Source organism: Homo sapiens, chromosome 12 (genome assembly GCF_000001405.40).
Source record: "Homo sapiens chromosome 12, GRCh38.p14 Primary Assembly".
In the NCBI taxonomy this organism is placed as follows: Eukaryota; Metazoa; Chordata; class Mammalia; order Primates; family Hominidae; genus Homo; species Homo sapiens.
The window spans coordinates 112,885,394-112,905,460 of NC_000012.12; the positions used below are offsets into that span (position 1 = coordinate 112,885,394).

At 45.4% G+C, this 20,067-nt stretch overlaps 1 protein-coding gene across 10 annotated transcripts in view, besides 1 other annotated feature; it reads left to right on the top strand.

The window, feature by feature from the left end:
- RPH3A (rabphilin 3A) overlaps positions 1-13,488 on the top strand; it is a 323,646-nt gene extending 310,158 nt beyond the window's left edge. For 9 of the 10 annotated variants that reach the window (NR_145127.2, NM_001347952.2, NM_001347953.1 and 6 more), the window contains 6 exons: positions 2,404-2,530; positions 4,631-4,687; positions 5,456-5,610; positions 9,185-9,266; positions 10,384-10,480; positions 11,257-13,488. Coding sequence is in view for 8 of the 10 variants with exons in the window: in NM_001347952.2 (NP_001334881.1) it covers positions 2,404-2,530; positions 4,631-4,687; positions 5,456-5,610; positions 9,185-9,266; positions 10,384-10,480; positions 11,257-11,387 (649 nt within the window). In the remaining 2 variants the exon portion in view is untranslated. Of the gene's footprint in view, positions 1-2,403; positions 2,531-4,630; positions 4,688-5,455; positions 5,611-6,885; positions 6,993-9,184; positions 9,267-10,383; positions 10,481-11,256 lie in introns of all 10 variants that reach the window. The other variant, NR_145126.2, reaches the window with a different exon arrangement.
- Positions 17,151-17,210: an enhancer, noted in NCBI's record as "active region_7051". NCBI's record gives its function as "activates an Ori minimal core promoter by ATAC-STARR-seq in GM12878 lymphoblastoid cells {active_cell/tissue: GM12878}" and the evidence as "EXISTENCE:reporter gene assay evidence [ECO:0000049][PMID:35858748]".

Sequence of the window (20,067 nt, forward strand, 5' to 3'; positions counted from 1 at the left end):
TGTGCACTGGTGTTGCGTTGTGGTTCCAAATTTCCCTGATGACTAAGTACAACACTTTCTCTAATGTACACTATTACATTTTGTGGTTATTTCATAATTTTCTTAAGCAGTTCCTCCATTGTACAGTATTTGTTATTTCTGCTTTTTTCATAGTTATAAACAATATTGTGACAAACATCTTTGTAGTTAAATATATTTCTAATTTTTTGAGGGTACATAGTAGGTGTATATATTAATATTCATGAGGTATATAGGATAATTTGATACAGGTATACAGTGTGTAATAATCGCATCATGAGTTTTTTAAATGGGTTAAAATAAATGTCTTTTTTAATCACCTCAAGCATTTATCCCTGTGTTATAAACAATCAAATTATACTCTTTTCACTATTTTTAAATGTACAATTAAATTATTATGGACTATAGTCACCCTGTTGTGCTATCAAATATTAGATCTCATTTATTCCTTCTAACTATTTTTTGGACCCATTGTAGTTAAATATTTTTGTACTTGCCTTATGATATATTTGAGGTAAATTCCTATAAGTGGTGCTACAGGGTCAAAAACAGTGATTATTCTCTTATGTCTTTGGAGATGCGTTGCCCTGAAGAAGGATGATATTGTTCACACCCCAACCAGCTCAGTAGAGACAAGTTTTTTCTCCAGTGTTAGACAGTGCAGGACTCAGCTATGAGGGTGTTTGGGCCCTCCAGGACTTTGAACATTTGTTCAACTAATGTTGGTGGCCAAGGAGTGCGGTACTTTTACAGTCCCTTCCTGTCCCCCAAGAATGCCTCCCATGCCTTGCAGGACAATAAGCCCTTTCCTCTCTTAGTGTTTGTCAGGATGAATTATCATGCCGTGACTGGTCCTTTTGGTCTCCTATGGCAGCAGTTCCCAATCTTTCTGGCACCAGGGAACAGTTTTGTGGAAGACAGTTTTTCCATGAACTGGGGTAGGGAGAAGGATGGTTACAGGATGAAACTGTTCCACCTTGGATCATCAGGCATTAGATTTTCATAAGGAGCGTGCAAACTAGATCCCTCACATGTGCAGTTCACAATAGGGTTTATGCTTCTGTAAGAATCTAATGCTGCCACTGATCTGACAGGAGGCGGAGCTGAAGTGGTAATGCTTGCTCACCTGCTGCTCACCTCCTCCTGTGCAGCCAGGTTCCTAACAGGCCACAGACTGGTACTGGTCCATGGCCTGAGGGTTGGAGACTCTTGTCCTAAGGGACATTTCTTATGACCTGCCTTTTTTGTGCCACTGTTACTCAATGCTGTGTAAGGTAGATAACAAAAGGCAATATATTACTATAGGATTCAGGGAGACCTGGATTCAAACCCTGGTTCTACCTCTTATTAGGGAAAAATTATTTAATCTTTCTGGGCCCCAGTATCTTCTCTAAATGGTAAATGCAGTTGTTTTGAAATAGGAAAAATTAAATGAGAAAAGTTCCTAGCCTGACTTTGCAAAAGAGGATGCTCAAATGGCCATAAAGTATATGAGAAGGGGCTCAACTGTTTTAATCATCAGGGAAATGTAAATTAAAACTAGTGACATACTATGACCCATCCAGAAAGGCTAAAATTAGAGACTGACATAATTGAAGTCAAAGAGAATAAAGAGTGACCAGAACCTTTATAAACTGCTGGTAGGGACATAATTGGTGGAACTGCCTTGGAAAACTGTTTTGAAGTTTCTACTGAAGCTAAACTTATGCCTAGTCCATGGCCAGCAACCCTACTCCTAGGAAAATACTCAATAGAAATATGTACATGTATATCCGAAAGACATGAACATAAATATTCCATAGCAGCGTTATTCATAATAACTCAAAACTAGAAACAACCTGTATCAACAGCAGAATTATTATGGTACATTTACACAGTGGAATACTATGCAGCAATAAAAAGGATAAGTTATACTGTGCATGGATGCATCTCACAGACATAATCTTGAGCAAGAGAAGCCAACATAAAAGAGTCTATATTATATGATTCCATTTATATGAAGGTCAAAAACCAGACAAATGACTTCATGTGGCCAGAGGCAAAAGAGTGGCTATCTTTGAGACAGGCAGTGACTAGAAAGGATCCTGAGGATCTTTCAGTCTCTGGAATGTTTTATATCTTGACCTGGGTGGGAATTACATGGGTATATACAAATGCAAGGGTTCATCAAGCTATAAACTAAATTTATGTGCTTTACTGCATGTCAGTTATACTGCAATAAAGAAGAAGTTAAAGGTACTTGGTCCAGTGATAAATAAACAGGAAATCATATTATTTCCACATACATTACACATTCCTTACCAGTATCAGCTGCAACTCTTGGCACACAGTGGTGTCTTAATATTTGTTCCTGTTTCTCTCTCTACCCCCTTGTGTTGGTGGCAGGATCTCCGTCTGTGATGAGGACAAATTTGGCCACAATGAATTTATTGGTGAGACCAGATTCTCCCTCAAGAAACTGAAGCCCAACCAGAGGAAGAATTTCAACATCTGCCTGGAGCGAGTGATTCCTGTGAGTGACTTTACCCTGAGGATCTGATGGGAGGAGGGGAGATTGGGGGAGCTGCCTTCCTCTGGGTCTGAATTGGGGGAAATAGATCCACGGGGTATTGGGTAGCAGAGGCACTGCAGCAGGTCTGCAGAGGAGAGTCAAGATTCCAGCTCACAACCTCAGGCTGCATTCTCTCTCTGCCTTTCACAAACCCTGTGTCAGCATCACTTCGAACATGAGTTCTTCTTGGCCAAACTGGATGGACAGCATGGCAGGGGCAGCATGGGCTTCCTGGGTTCAGAGCCAGCTCTGCCACTTGCTGCTCCATGGCCTTGGCCAAGGGGCTGAACCACTCCGAGCCTCGGTGTTCTTGTCTGTAATGTGGGTGTTATAACAGTACCTGCCTCTTGGGAGGGTTGTGTTTTAAAAAATAACATAATCAAAATAGAACTTAATGCATAGTAAGCACTCATAAATTAACAGTTGTTAGTGTAGGAAATATTGCTGCCTTACCCACCTGTCAGTCATGAAGTCAGAAAGCACCATGTAGATAAACAGCAGACAGCATAGCCTAGAGTTTAAGAGTATGGGCTCTGCAGCCAGACTCTCGGGTGTGAATCCTGGCTCTGCCACTTAGGGTATAACCTGAGGCAAATTATTTAATTTCTCTGGGCCTCAGATGTCTCATCTGTAAAATGGGATACTGTAGTACTAACCTCATAGGATCTTTTAAGGATTGAATGTGATAATACATATGAAGTATTAGAACTGTCATTGTTGTTGTCAGATGTGATTCTTGCTCTTTGAGAAAATAGCAAGGATCAAAGTGAGGTTCTGCAATGGGGTTGCACCTCAGAATTAACCGGGGGATTCTAAAACCAGAGCTTTACAAGCTAAGATTTGTGGGGGTCTCCCCTGGAGATTCTGTTTTAGTGGGGTAGGGTAGGACTCAACAATCTATATTTTTAGAGATAATTCAGGCTGCCTTGCCTTACGTATGGGCCAACTTGGGCCCAGAAAGGGTAGCAAGTCTCCAAGGTCTCTGGGCACTGGCCAGAGTCCAGCTCTCCTACAACACCAGCACCCCTGGTCTCTCTGGGCAGCCTGCCTGCTCTCCACAGGGAAGCTATGGGGTGCAGGAGCATCTTCCCACCAGATGGCCAGCCTGAGGATGGAATGTCTGCATGCCATGCCATAGTTTTATAGTTCAGGCAAAGGAACAAGACCAAACAAGGAAAATTTCAAGGAAGGATTTCCACTGAATTCCAGGCTCAGAATAAATCCTTAAAGACATCCCTAGGAATGAGGCCCTTCTTCTGGGCTTTTGCCTGGTGACAGCTGGGTCTTCAGGCTTCTCTTCCTTCTCCAACTCCGTGAGTCCAGTTGGCCAGGACAATGGCCAGGCCCTTGCCTGTGTCATCAGCCTTTGGGTCTTCCCATCTTGCTATGGTGAATGCAGCCAGCCCCAGAGACATGGAGGTGCAGGACACCCAGAGGGCTGCAGCAGCCGCAGAACACTACTGATCATCTTCTTTTGCTCTTTGCCATTAAACCTTAACCCTTGCACCACGAACTTCCCCCATTATGTCCCACTGAGGGCCCCTCCCCTCTGGACCTCAGGTTTCCTCCTCTCCAAAGTGGGGAGGTTGGATTTAACCAATGGTTTTCTAACTCTGTTTCCCAGAGCCTAGAGTTCAGCAAAAGGGCCCCAGGGGCCATGAAGGCAAAAGCACCTGGTGGGTCAGACCCCAAGACCCCTGAGCCACTTCAACCAGAGAAAATGAAATCTTGTCTGTTTGTGTGTGGAATGCTCTGACACTTATTGGCTGTGTGACCTTGGGTAAGGGGCTTAACTACTCGGACCCTCAGCATCCTCATTTGTAAAATTGGAATTGTAACAGAACCTATATCATAGGTTGTTACACATTCACATAGCTTGCCATATGGCTAAGTTTTATAAATTTTAGCTAAAAGGGAGAATGCAGGAGAGCCACAGTAGCTTAAGAACCCACTTTCATGGCTCTGGATGGTAATGGAAGTATGAGGGGTTTCTGGTCCTTCTTGCGCAGGAAGATGAGCTCCATAGACAATGTTATCTTTTATTTGTTTTCTTCTTTTAAGATGAAACGTGCTGGGACCACCGGGTCAGCCCGAGGCATGGCCCTTTATGAGGAAGAGGTGAGCACTGAGCAGGAATTGAAGCCACAGTCAGGGTCTGTACTGGGCTAGGCTAGCATCTTCCTCTTCTCTCCCTCCCTGGCCCCTTCCTCATCCATTCTCTTCCAACCACCCCCCTGTTGATTTGCCTTGAGAACAACCCTTTGCCCACAAGTGATGTCCTCTCCACACCTAAGCCTCTGAGGAGGGGGAAGCCCCTTTCTCTCATACCCAGGATGCCCACCAGGTTTTTGGCCTTGTTGTCAGAAGCTTTGTTGACAATTCTACTGACTAGGGCAATGGCACACTCCTTTCTTGGAGTAGATGCATTCTTTGAGCTGTGTGCATGGCAGAAACTGAACTAAGCCTTCATGCTGTCTGCCTGGGTCCCTCATATGACCCCAAGGACTGCCCTTTAAGAATACTGGTTGTGTTAAGGGAGTCTGAGATCAGAGGCAAGAATCTGTCTGGGGCCAGGGTCAAGGCTCAGTCCTGGGTTAGAGCCAAAGCCAATCAGTGACCCGGAGCAAGTTTAGTCTGTGCTCACAGTCAGAGTCTGTTTATGTCTAAGTCAAAGGGAAGCCATTGGTCCCCATGTGCCTGAGACTGGTCCTCAACTTTCACCTTTGGCTCCTCTTTGGAGGCTAAGCCATCTGCTGTCCCTGGTACTGGCTCCCTAGAGCTGGCCAAGCTTCGCCTGCCCTTCATAGGTTCTTCCCTAATGCTCGCCATTCACATTTCCTGGCCCCCTCCCCTCCAAGGCCCACACTGCCTTTTCCCCCAATGCAGCAGGTGGAGCGTGTTGGTGACATCGAGGAGCGTGGCAAGATCCTGGTCTCCCTCATGTACAGCACACAGCAGGGAGGCCTCATTGTGGGCATCATACGCTGCGTGCACCTGGCTGCCATGGACGCTAATGGCTACTCAGACCCATTCGTCAAGCTGTAAGTCAATGCCTTGGGGCTACAGGTGGGCCCTGAAGGAGTCCTGGAGCCTTGGAAAAGGAGAACCAGACAGTTTCACCAAGATCGTTGTACACTGAGACCCAGAGAGGGCAAGGAACCTGCCCAAGGTCACAGTGAAACAAATGCCTACAACTGGCAAGAATGTGGGTCTGGAGTCTCAGGCAGTCAAACTGGTGTGTCACTTGCCCACAGGCAAAGCTCTGTGGCTCTGTCCTCTTGAGGGCCTGCTGATGGCTCTGCAACTAAGCTAATTAGTTATAGTAGCCCCATTTGTACTCCCAGGAGTTGGCCGCACACCCCTCGGACCGCTCAGACCTCCACCACCAAAGAGGCCATCTGGCATTTTCCAGATTCATTCTGGAAATGCTCAGAAAAAAAACATGCCTTCAGTCTGGGGTCTGTTCCAGCAATCTCATCATGGAGAATAAAAGGGACTCTGTTATCTGTGTTAGTCCAGATCCTCTGAGAAGAAGATGCCAAAATAGGATTAAGCAGACAAGGGGTTTATCAGGGGAAATGCCCATTCCAGGAAGTCTGCAGGGAGTCAGGGGAGAAAGGGAGAGATGTTAGACTACAATGCAAGTCTGACCTGAGTGAGGGGACTAGATAGAGAAGTTGGAGGGAAGCATTCCAGATACAAGTTCAGTAAGGCCACCAGGGAGTCCTCAAGCCAAAACTGGCCATCAGACATGTCCTGTATCTCATAGGAGTGGGCCGACCTTAGCATCCCTGCCAGGCCCAGTCATTGGCTGGGAGCATGGCCTTGGCACAAATATGTCATGGACTTCCAAGCACTGCATCCAGGGCCTTGGTCAGTTACGCTTCCTGTAGCTGGAGGTCTGCCAGGTGCAATCTCATAGCCACCGCTGTGTCAGACATCAGGCCCTATTCTCATCTCTGCCAGCTGCTGGCTGTGGACTCTAAGCAAGTTATTTAGCTTCTCATTCAGTTTCTTCATTGGTAAAATGGAGACAAGAGTTCCACTTATCTCCAAGGTGGGCTTAAGGCTCAAATGAGATAGCACAAAGAAAGCAAACAGAATCGAGCCTGGTACAGAAATGTTTAGCACCTCAGTAGAATTCTGCTGGCCTTGGGGCAGCAACATGTATGTTTCTGTGGATGTGGATCTCCATGGAGCATGGAGTCTCCAGTATGCTCTAGCTATGTGACCTGGGGCTCATAGCTTAACATCTCTAGGCCTCAGTGTGCTCATCTGCAAAATGGACAGAGTAATACTGTAATACTGTATATTAGTTCAGGTCCTCCAAGAAGGAAACACCAAGAGAAGATACAGGTGTGCCTGTAGAGGAGATAAGGAGGAATCCAGAGGGGACCCATAGAGACCACAGACCTTGCTACAGGTATGACCCCTGTGGAGCAGAGAAGGAAGGAAGTTTGGGTAGAAACAATCTTAGGCTACAGTGCAGCTCCAAGGAAGCTGCACTATTTCATCCAAGGTGATGGAGAATCCTTGAGCACAGTCACCCATCAGAGGAGTCCTGCATTTCCCAGAAATGGGGCTGCCTAGTGTCCCTGCTAGCGTCAGTTATTGGCTAAGAACACTTGTGGGAAGCGTGGCTTCAGCAAGAACATCATGAATACAGAGCCCAGTAGCTTGTTCATCAGTTTTACCCCCTGCAACTGGAGAATGCAGGCTGAGAGGTACATTTTCAAGGGGTCTGGTACACAGTAAATGCTAATAAATACCTGCCATTATGGTTATAAATAACCACCATCACTGTCCTTACTCATGGCAGAGAGTATTTACTAATATCCCCTCCAGTTGGGAGACACTCCCCCCACCTCCACTGCCTCTGATAACAGAAAGCAATACTTCCCTTTAGTCCATGGCCAAAGAACAGATCCATGTGGGCTGTCTTTCACATTTCCTTTGAATGAAGATTTAGTTAACAAAGAACACACAGGTCAGGGACAAGTTTGGTTTCTAAGAGTAATTTGATTTTATTTCCTCGTATGACCCAAGAGAGGAAATGAGCTCAAGGGGTGCTGTCCAGCACTCCATTAGAGGTCAGCCATGTGCAGATTGGTTTTCTTAAATAATTCTCTCTACCACCCCCTCCCCCACCTACCCAATCCTTCCAGAAGAAGTAGAATTGCCGTGGTCACTACTGAAGCAGCTGACCTGCTGGGTGCAGTTATGGGAGAAAAAATGGGAGACCACTAAGCAGTTTCTGATCAAATAAAGATTTTTTAAAAGCCAGAACTTCCCATTATTTTTGCTTAGCTCTTTGGTAACTTCTAATTCCTCATTTTTGTCTCTTCTTAAAAATTATCCTCAAAACCACTTCTGTAGATGAGAATGAAATGTTCGCCCTCTTTACAGGTCAAGAAACAGAGGCACGGTAAAGTTACGCTCATGTTTAAAGTTGCTCCGCTGGTGACAACCTGAATCAGAATCCAAATGTCCCAGCCCTTAGGAGTGTTTAGCCCATTGTGTTTACTCACCCAGGAAATATTTTGTTTTGTTTGGTTTGTGTTTTGTTCTCTCTCTCTTTTTTAAGAGACAGGGTCTCGCTCTATTGCCCAGGCTGTAGTGCAGTGGTGTGATCATAGCTCACTGCAGCCTCGAACTCTGGGGCTCAAGAGATCCTTCCACCTCAGCTTCCTGAGTACCTGGGACTGAAGGCATACATCACTGTGCCCAGATAATTTTTGTTATTTTTTATAGAGACAGGCTCTCGCTATGTTGCCCAGGCCGGTCTGGAACTCCTGGGCTCAAGTGATCCTCCCGCTTTGGCCTCCTAAAGTGCAGAGATTACAGGCACGAGCCACCATACGCAGCCTCACCCAGAAAATATTGATTGAGTACCTACTATGTGCCAGACACTGGGCCTCACTGGAAAAGAGCCCTGTAGGCAGAAGAAACAGTTTGCTCAAAGGCCCTTGGGTGGAAAGGAGAAGTAAGGAGTGGGGTGAGGAGGATGGCATAAGGTTAGGTTGGGATGGAGCAGAAACCCAACACACACGGTCTTAAGGCCACATGAAGGATTTTGAACTCTCCCCTGAGTTTAAAAGGAACCCAGTACACAGTTTTGAGAAGTGGAGTGACAATAATCAGATTTGCATCTTCCCCTTTCTGTGCATACACCCAGCCTCTCTCTAGGGATTGGGGGCAGCCTAAGGTGGGATAGATGGTAAAATGCCAGGCACCACCAGCCATGGCCATCAATTTGACTTATGGGGAGAAAGTGAGCATGCTAAGAACACAGACTCTAGATGCAACATCTGGATTCAATCCCAGCTGTGTGAGCTAGGGCACACTTCTGCCTCTCTGGATCTCAGTTTCTGTTTCTGTAAACTGAGTGGTTGTGGTTCTACTGCCTAGGGTCATGTGGGGATTAAATATGCCTAAGTTGCTCAGTCAAGTGCCTGGTACCAAGCAGATGCTCTAATGCATATTGGTCATTATCAATGTTGATCCCTTTCTGATTTATTCATCAATTCACCCTGATAAAGAAGGGGCCTTTGGGGTCAAGAGGCTGTTCTTATTCATTAAACGTCATCCATAATAGCATGTTGTGTCGCCTCCCAGCTGGCTGAAACCGGACATGGGAAAGAAGGCCAAACACAAGACTCAAATTAAAAAGAAAACCTTGAATCCCGAATTCAATGAGGTAAGGCTGCCCTATTCTTTTTCATGCTCTGGGATATTTGCTGTGTGTTAGAGAGGCACAAATAGCCACATAGCCATTAAATATGTGGCCACATAGCCATTAAATGCAGCCATTTGAAATGATGATGTAGAAAAATATTTGAAAAATATTTGAGAACATGCTAAGTTGGTTTTTGCCCAAAGTTGTAAATGAAAAAGGAAGTGACAATACTGTATGTTCAGCATTACTTAGTTAACAAAAAATTTATACATCACTGTGAACACATGTGGGGGAATGTTGACATGGTTATTCTTGGGTAGTTGGATTACCGGGAATTGGGGGTGGGGGTTCTTCTTTGTTTTAGCAATGAACATAAAATGAATTTTGTAATTAGGCAGAGAAGCTATTTTTTAAAAATCAGATTGTCTGGGAACATATGTACTCAGTCCACTTCAACTGTATTTATTTATTTATTTATTTTTGAGACAGAGTCTCACTCTGTGGCCTAGGCTGGAGTGCAGTGGCGTGATCTTGGCTCACTGCAACCTCCACCTCCCTGGTTCAAGCAATTCTCCTGCCTCAGCTTCCCGAATAGCTGCAATTACAGGTGCCCACCACCATGCCTGGCTAATTTTTGTATTTTTAGTAGAGATGGGGTTTCACCATGTTGGTCAGGCTGGTCTCGAACTCCTGAGCTCAAATGAGCCACCATCTCAGCCTCCCAAAGTGCTGGAATTACAGGTGTGAGCCACCGGGCCCGGCCACTTCAACTACTTTTATTCCTAAGCAATAAAAAAGGGGATGCCCCTTCATAAACTACCAGAGGGGAAGGACTATGTTCATGGCCATTTACCTACAAGGAAACTTGAGCTCTATTAGAAAAACCTCACCAGCCTTCCCAATTTCAAGCAGAGAATTCACTGAAAAGAGGATGACAGTGCTTTGTTACACAGAGTGTTTGTTGGAAGGGGATCACGGGACCTGGGGCAGAGGATCGGCACGGGAAGACCTCCTTGCTCCCAGAATGCCAGCTCAAGGACCTCTCCTTGGCCCATAACCCCTAGGACTCGGCCTCTTACCTCCCAATGCTGTGGGTTCAGAGGGCTCTTACCCACATGTCTTCCTCTGTTGTATTCAGGAGTTTTTCTATGACATCAAACACAGTGACCTGGCAAAGAAGTCACTGGACATTTCAGTCTGGGACTATGACATCGGCAAGTCCAATGATTACATCGGTGAGTGTTCCTAACTCCAGAGAAAACGCCCTCTTCTGTCCTCCCCAGAACAGGAGAGCCTTATCCAGGGCTACAGAGAGTTGAGGTCATTGCTATTCTTTTGGCAACCTCATTGTTCAAATGCTAAATTGAGACCCATGATCTTGACCTTGGTCCAATTTGGGGATGTCTTTACATGAAAAGCCTTACAAAACTTGATTATTTGTTGAACAAATCACCTCCAGTGGGGTAATTAAATCACAGGAGAGATTTGCGTTCTCTGCAGAAAGCAGGGTGCAAAAGAATTCTTAATTTATTTGCATGTCCAGGATAAAATTTTTAATTTTTTAGTTCCTGTTTGAATCATGAGGAAGAAAATCAATTAAAGATGAAGCAGGGGGGTGGGGACTCCAGGCAAGGGACAGAGCCTGAGCTAAGGGGTAAAGACAGGATTGAGCAGGATGATGAACCTTTTTGGAAATAGACAATGAGTTCCCAGAAGTAGTGGGAGATAAGTTTCAGTGAGTAGAATGGTGATTTGTAGAAAGCCTTTAAAAATAGACAGTGAAATTATGACTCAGTGGAACAGTAGGGAGCCATTGCAGGTTCTTGAGGCAGAGAAGGACCGTAATAATAATAACAACAACAGCAGCAACGTTATAACAACTCTCTATAGAGTATGGATCCCAGGTTGCTGGGGGTCACTGCTTGGTGCAGTTTTTTCCCCAACTACACATTTGGGTCTAGAACGACCTCTATTCTGACCACCTGCTCCTATCTTCCCATTTATCCTCCAGGAGGCTGCCAGCTGGGGATCTCTGCCAAGGGAGAGCGCTTAAAACACTGGTACGAGTGTCTGAAAAATAAAGACAAGAAGATAGAGCGCTGGCACCAGCTACAGAATGAGAACCACGTGTCAAGTGATTAGGCTAGTGCCCAGGTCCCCATCTCCATGTCCCGGGTCCCCCCCAGCCTGCTCTAGCTGCCCACCGCACCCTGATCTCTCTTCTCTATGCCTACCTCCCCCCATACCCTGCTGATCTCCCTGAGCCTGCCTTTGAGCCCCCGTCACGTTGGGCACTGCTGCCAAAGACTCCCTCCTCCCTGATGCTGGGATGTGGGCTCTGAATACAGCCCCTCTCTCATCCCTGGGATGGAGCAATGGGGATGGGGTTGGGGAGACGTTTACAAAGAGGTTGATCATTTAATAACCTCTCAGTTTGGGTAAATTACAAAGGTTCTTCATCATTTAGGACTGTTTTTAGACCCTCCTAGCCTTGAACACACACATGTACACACACACACACACACACACACACACACCCTTTCATTCCCTGTGTTGTGTCTCTGTATATCCCCAGTTGTCAGCAGACCCGGACAATGCTGTGAGAGAAGCATTGGGGCACAAATAGAGCCTCCGGGCTCCCACTGCCCCCTGAGATGTACACCCTGATTGCCAGGAAAACAGACTGCTGTGTTCAGTAACACACCCTCCCTGCTCCAAGTGCACCAGGATGCAAATGCACAGAATTCACCAGGGGCTTGGACGCTCTCCTCTTTCCGAATGTCACCTGTGTGCTTCCTAGCAAAACAAAAACAAACGACAACAACAAAAAACCCTTCCTCTGTCACCTTTTCTCCTCCTCCCTCTTCTTTCCCTTCCATGATAGTAGATTCTCTCTTTCTCAGCCTCTCCCCTCTCCTTTCTCTCCCTGCCTTTCTTCCCTTTGCCTTTCTCTCTCTCTAAAGCAGTAACACCGCAAAAACAACAGCAAAAAAAGTGTATGTTAACCTAGCCTCACCCCCTTGCTCTCACCAGCCTGACCAGGAAACTGAGAAACTGGCCCAAACCTGAGATTCCACTTGGGCCCACGCTTCTTAACTGACCCACTCCTCCCGTTGGCAGAACCAGACATTCCCAGGGCTTGGGCCAATGGCTGGCACTGCCCTGAGTGCATGGCAGCATCCCTCAAGCTGTGTAGATGCCCCATAGAGGACTCTCTCATCCGTGGGCTCCCCGGGTGGGCACGGAGGCATTTAGAAGACCAGGGCCATGGGTCTGAGGAAGCCTCAGCCAAAGCCTCCAGCCTTTCTCCTTTCTCCGCTCTTAGGTAAATGAACAAGCTACCCTCCTCCCCAATGCCCTTGACTCTGTTTCATTGACTCTTTTGCATCCCATCTCTCACTCAGAACCCCCTCCAGTCTCTCTGTCTCTCTTTGTCTGTCTCTCTGTCTCCTGCACTCTCGTTACTAAGCTTCCTGGGAGAATCAAATAATATCATGGCTATGGAACAGTAGAGAGAGACAGGCCTGATGCCAAAGGCTTTGGGCTCATCATCAATCTTTCACTTTCTTCCTATAAAAAAAATTATTTTATAAAGGAGGAAAAGGCAATGTGGGCAAACATTACAAATTTGAGGTTGAAGTCAGGCAATCTTCAATGCCCTGTGAGAAAGGTTCGATTTTCCCAATTTTGATGAAGTCTTCCCTCATGAAAATCACTCCCAGTCATCCCAAACCCCTGACATTCTCTACAGAAGCATCAGACAGATACTCAAACTCTCACTTTCCCCAAATCACATCTCTTAACTTTTCAACGCCCTCCACCCTCAGCTCCCTGCACAATTCATGGGAGGACTCATTTCTTGCCTTGAATAACCATTTTCTAAACATCGAGCTCTTCACCTTCCCCAAGGTGGCCAACAGCTTCCTGGCTGCCATCTTTCCTTTTGACCTTATCTTTCCCCATTAGTCCCTGGTGGCACCTACTCTCAGCCCACCTCCCTCACCACAGTTTCCCCTTAGGAGACAGCATGCTGGCTGTGTCGCCCAAGCCTGATGCTGGTGTAGGCGCTGGAATCAGCATGCAGCAAGCTCACAGTGCCCCTAGTCTGGGTGCCCGCTGTCCCCGACAAATGTAACCACCTCCCTGCCTAGAATACACACACGTCCTCCGGTGCATGCACAACCACCCAGCATCTTTCTTTGTGATGATGTAGCCAAAAATAAAGTAGGAGCATCCAAGAAAACGAGTGGTCTGCAGTTTTCCTTTCTGGTTTCTGCGAAGTCCTCCTCCCCACCAGGACATATGCTATTCTGATAGTCAGTACTTAATGAGCATCTACTATGTTCCAGGCACTGGCGACAGATGTGTTCTCTGCCCACGAGGAGTTTGCTTTATGGTGGATTTTATCTTGGGCAGGTGGGCCTAAGGTAACTTGGCTGACTCCAAACCCTTCTAGAAGAATACTTTTTGCTGGTGCCTACCAAACAGGAGGGCAACATCCTCATCCTCCTCCTGCTGCTACAAGACCTGGGAAACGTCCCAGGTGGTTGCAGAATCAGAAATTGCCAAAGCTAAAAGAGAACATACAATTGAGCCACAACCTAGTTCAATCAACTCACTTTTTAGACAGATGAAGAAACCAAGGTCCAGAGAAGAAAATGCCATGTCCAGTGTTAAACAAAGGCAATACCAGGAAAGGAGTTCGATCGTTGGACTCCCAGAATCCAGTGTTCTTCACACACTGATCGATGAGCATGGACCATCAAATGCCTCCCTTGCATTGTAGCACCTTCCAACCTACAATGATTCTCTCATTGGAGATTCTCGATAGTCCTGAAGGTGAACTGAGTCAGCAACTGACTCTCCAGAAAAAAAAAATCTTTTTTTTTTTTTTTTTTATTATGGAGTCTCCCTCTGTCCCTCAGGCTGGAGTACAGTGGCACAATCTCTGCTCACTGCAACCTCCACCTCCCGGGTTCAAGTGATTCTCCTGCCTCAGCCTCCCGAGTAGCTGGGACTACAGGTGCTTGCCGCCACACCCGGCTAATTTTTATATTTTTAGTAGAGGCAGGGTTTCGCCATGTTGGTCAGGCTGGTCTCAAACTCCTGACCTCAGGTGATCCACTTGCCTTGGCTACTCAAAGTTTTGGGATTACAGGTGTGAGCCACTACACCCGGCCTCTAGAATTCTTAATCACACTATAATCCATCCCCAAAGTGCTTAAGCAATTTATCAGTAATGGTTACTTCAAGAAGGAGCCATCAATTCTGTCCCACAGATAATTCTCTTTTCTTTGAGACCATTTCCTGTTTGTGCCCTCAAAAGCAAAAGCTGGCATGTTAGTCTCACTTGGGAGATTTCTTTCCCCACAGATTCTGCTAAACCCTGAGGATAAGGTGTATAGTTGAAAATATTTTCTGGCCGGGCACAGCAGCTCATGCTTATAATCCCAGCACTTTGGGAGGCCGAGGTGGGTGAATCACCTGAGGTCAAGAGTTCGAGACCAGTCTGGCCAACAGGGTGAAACCCTGTCTCTACTAAAAATACAAAAATTAGCCAGGTGTGGTGGCGTGCACCTGTAGTGCCAGCTACTCGGGAGGCTGAAACAGGAGAATAGCTTGAACCTGGGAGGTGGAGGTTGCAGTGAGCTGAGATCATACCACTGTACTCCAACCTGGGTGACAGAGTAAGACGCCGCCTCAAAAAAAAAAAAAAAAAGAAAAAGAAAATATTTCCTGGTTGATGCCTTGTGATTTCCACCTTCATGATGACTTTGAAAACCACTACCCAAAAAGTTGATCAGTTTTTCCTGGTGGCAATTTAGCTAGCTGCCACTAGGTGGAGAGAGGTGCTAATTATGTCCTTAGAAGCCTCACAGGAACAGCTGGAGACACTTGCCATTCTCCCTGTGCTCCTGGCAGACATCACTAATCAATACGGCATCTTTCCTACAGAACCTACAAGCAGCCTCTGAGTCCCTCTCAACCCAGGGTTCCAGGGAGCCACCACCAGTCAGTCATGGGTGGCGGTTAAAAAGAAGCCTAATTTCCATCCTTAAACTGGTTGATCTTCATTTATATGCAGACAAGCCTAACAGACTGAGATGAACATACAGGAGGAAAGTTTTCATAAATATTAGTACACCTGATCTAGCTAATTGTGCTGCCCCACCCCTGACCCCTGGCTGACCCCATTGAAATAAAACACTCTGTAAGTGGCTATATGGTGTGTTGGAAAGCATCTGCCCTGAAAAGAACGCGAGCCAAAATTTCAATTAAGTCCAGCATTCAAATTCTGACTGACACTTTCTAGCTATGGGAACTTGGCCAAGTCATTTAGCCTCACTGAGTATCAGTTTCCTCAGCTGGAGTAATAAATATTTCAAAGAGTTGCTGAGAGATGTTAACGGTACAGTCCATCGAGAGTACCTGGCACGTAGTAGAGACTTGACAAGTGCCACCTCCGCTTGCCAGCCCCTAAACTTGGGCTCCCTCACGCAGCTTGCATCGGGGAAAATGCTCTTGAACTGGCATTGGTTGAAAACAGGACGTTGGAGCTGAAAGTGGGTGAAGTTCAGGTGAGGCAGAAATCAGATCTCCAAGGTCTCTGCACAGATGGGAGCAGACTCTCCTGCTGGTGCCCACAGAAATTCAGCCAACATCTAGAGATGTTTGTTCTGAGTAGGAGTCAGAGGCAAGATCAAGTTGCTGAGGTCTGGTTTCCCATCAGGGATGACAAAAGGGAGGCCAGGAAAAGGGGCAGGTCACAGGGCTGGTGGTTCCTGGTGAAAGCAGTGCAGGCCCAATTGCGGCTGGGCTTACCGCCAAGTGGATTAAACACTCAATGCTCTGAAACCTGCCAGGCTGACCCTTGCTCAGCTCAATCAGATCTGCCAGGGACATTGGCTTGATGAGGTTAAGCAAGCCATTCAAGGTGATGGACACCCCAATTACCCTGATGTGATTGTGACACATCATACACCTGTGTCCAAAATATTGCATGCACCCCATAAATATGTACAACTCTTATGTATTCATAATAATTAAAAATAATTTTTGACCAGGCATGGTGGCTGATGCCTGCAATCCCAGCACTGTGGGAGGCCAGGCAGGTGGATCACCTGAGGTCAGGAGTTCAAGACCAGCCTGGCCAATATGGTGAAATCCTGTCTCTACTGAAAATACAAAAAATTAGCCAGGCGTGGTGGCGGGCACCTGTAATCCTTGCTATTTGGGAGGCTGAGGCAGGAGAATCACTTGAACCTGGGAGGTGGAGGTTGTGGTAAGCTGAGATCATGCCATTGCACTCCAGCTTAGGCAACAAGAGTGAAACTCCGTCTCAAAAAAAAATAAATAAAAATAATAATTTTTAAAAAGAGTACCATGAAAGCAAAAGTATGTACATAAGAGGTATCTTTTGGCCGGGTGCGGTGGCTCACGCCTGTAATCCCAGCACTTTGGGAGGCCAAGGCAGGTGGATCACAAGAGTTTGAGACCAGCCTGGCCAACATGGTGAAACCCCGTCTCTACTAAAAATACAAAAAATTAGCTGGGTGTGGTGGCAGACACCTGTAATCCCAGCTACTCGGGAGGCTGAGGGAGGAGAATTGCTTGATCCCAGGAGGTGGAGGTTGCAGTGAGCCAAGATTATGGCACTGCACTCCAGCATGGGCAACAGAGTGAGACTCTGTCTCAAAAAAAAAAAAAAAAAAAAAAAAAAAAAAAAAAGAGGTATCTTTTGCTTGGCTCTTGTCCATATCTGCTGTGTGATCTTGAATAAGTCACTTCCCCTTTTTGTTCTCTGACTACACAGGTAGACATCAGAGCATCATGATTCTCTATGTTAATTGTTACACCCCATAAATGTGCCGTTGTTTCCTAATCATTCGTTGAAGACCGAGACCTTTTTGCTGAGGACAGGCCCCCTGACTGGAGTCCCACACTATCTTTCTCTCAAAGCGCAAGAATGAGTGGTGTGTAATTTCCTGTTTCTGTTTCTTTAAAGGAAACAATAATTTAAAGCCACCTGCAAAGGCATGAAGGCATAATCCTGGGCAAAAGTGGATTTGTTTCAACTTATTTTCTCAATCTTCTATGGGATCATCTCACTCTTAGCTAATTCTACGCAATGCTTGCCTTTATTGCATCTTTCCAAAGAATTGGATGTTGGTTTCCTAAGGACAGCTCTCTTTTGCACTCATCTGTTTACAGATATATATATTTAATCAAAAATATTTAACAACTGCAATTGCCATGAGGACATTTGGGAGCAAACAAAATTTTATTTATTTATTTAGAGACAGGGTCTCACTATGGGAGCAAACAAAGTCTTCTTTATTTATTTAGAGACAGCATCTAGCTATGTTGTCCAGGCTGGTCTCAAACTCCGGAGCTCAAGTGAGCCTCCTGCCTCCACCTCCGAAAGTGCTGGGATTACAAGCCTGAATCACTGCTCCTGGCCAGAATCTTTTTTTTTTTTTTCAGTTAATTTAGAAAGTTTATTTTGCCAAGGTTGAGGATGCCAACCCGTGACACAGCCTCAGGAGGACCTGAGGACATGTGCCCAAGGCAGTCAGAGACAGTTTGGTTTTATACATTTTAGGGGACATGAGACATCAATCAACGTATGTAAGATGGACATTGGTTTGGTCTGGAAAGGCGGGACAACTCGAAGTGGGGAGGGGGCTTCCAAGTGGTAGGTATATAAGACACAAATGGTTGCATTATTTTGAATTTCTGATTAGCCTCTCTGAAGGGGGCAATCAGAAATGCATTTATCTCAGTGAGCAGAGGGGTGATTTTGAATAGAACGGGAGGCAGGTTTGCCCTGAGCAATTCCCCAGCTTGACTTTTCCCTTTAGCTGAGTGATTTTGGGGCCCCAAGATATTTTCCTTTCACATTTCCTCCCTTTTCTTTTTAAAAATATTTTAGACAAAGCATTTTAGAAGAAAATGAGTCTCTAGTCTCAGGTTTCATCTGATTTCTCTTGGCTAGGATGGTTTATTACTATAGGGGTAAGTCCGGAGTTATTAGGAAAGCTCATTTTTAGAAGGTTGTAAAGTCTCATGTCCTGTGAAGAGAAAATAGGGGGAGGAAGGGAGAACACAACAAACAAAAGAACAATCCTGGAAAATCAAGATACAGGCCAGAGTATTCCGAAGTTCACACATCAGCAGATAGGTATGAAAGTGGCTTACGTCTGTAAATATGTAATTATTTTTTTCTGAGGTTTAAGTTGTCTAGCTCCAGTTTGCAGGGCTTTATAAAAGCACAACTTAGTTTTCAGTGATTCCAAATTAGGGAAAATGGGGGGAAAAGAAGGAAAAAATTTAAAATATTATTTTGGAGACTTGTAGCCAAGAAAAATTAGAATTCAGTCCAAACTATAGAAAATAATAAAAATTGAAAAACATTAGGCAAGACTAGAATGCAACAACAGGTGTACTATAGTTTTTGAAGCATAATCTTTCTCCAGTTTCCCATTTTTACTAAAGATGAATCATGGTAAGGGAGGAGACCACCCCTCATATTGTCTTATGCCTAATTTCTGCCTCCAAAGAAAGAAGATGTAAAAACTAAAAGGCAGAAATGAAATCCACAAGCAGGTAGCCTGGTGCCACACCCTGGGCCTGGTAGTTAAAGATCGACTCCTGACCTAATAGGTTATTTGCATAAAAAAGGCACTGTGAAGATCCCTGTCCTATTCTGTTCTGTTCTAATTACTGGTGTATGCAACCCCCAGTCATGTACCCCCTGCTTGCTCAATCCATCACGACCCTCTCACATGGACCCCCTTAGAGTTGTGAGCCCTTAAAAGGGACAAGAATCGCTCACTCGGGGAGCTCAGCTCTTGAGACAGGGGTCTTGCCCATGCTCCCGGCCGAATAAACCCCTTCCTTCTTTAACTCGGTGTCTGAGGGGTTTTTGTCTGCAGCTCTTCCTGCTACAATGGTATGACTGGTTTGCTTTATCATACTTGGCCTAATTTTTTGCATACAGTGCAGCAAGAATCTTCAACTAGTAAATGAAGTGAGTATTGCAAAGACAGCACCCCACCCTCATGGTGACATTTAGTCTTAGGCCAAAGTCAACATCTTATACAGTAGGAGTGGAGAGTGTCAACTCATGAATAATCTGGTTAAGAGGTTAAGGGTTTGTAAGAAAGATAGTTGGCATTTACAAAATATTTCATCCAACAAAAACAGGAAACACATTCTTCTCAAACTCACACAGAACATTCACCAAGACATATTATGTTCTGGGCTAGAAAACACACTTTAACAAATTTCAACAGAGATATGTTATGCAAAGCATGCCCTTTACTACAATGGAATTAAAAAAGAAACCCACAAAAGAAAGATAGCTGGAAAATTCCAAAATATATGGAGATTAAAGAACACACCTCTAAATAACACATGGGGCAAGGAAGAAGTCTCAAGAGAAATTTTAAAATATTTTGGGCCAGGCTCAGTGGCTTACGCCTATAATCCTAGCACTTTGGGAGGCTGAGGCAGATGGATCGCTTGAGCCCAGGAGTTCGAGACCAGACTGGGCCACATGCAGAAACCCCATCTCTACAAAAAATACAAAAATTAGCCAGGCATGGTGGCATGTACCTGTAGTCCCAGCTACTTGGGAGGCTGAGGTGGGAGGATCACCTGAGCCCAGGAGGTCAAGGCTGCAGTGAGCTAAGATTGTGCCACTGCACCCCAGCCTGGGCAACAGAGTGAGACCCTGTCTCAACAAAATAAATAAATATATTTTGAATTAAATTAAAATGAAAAAACAGCCTATCAAAAAGTGTGGGATGTAGTGAAAGTA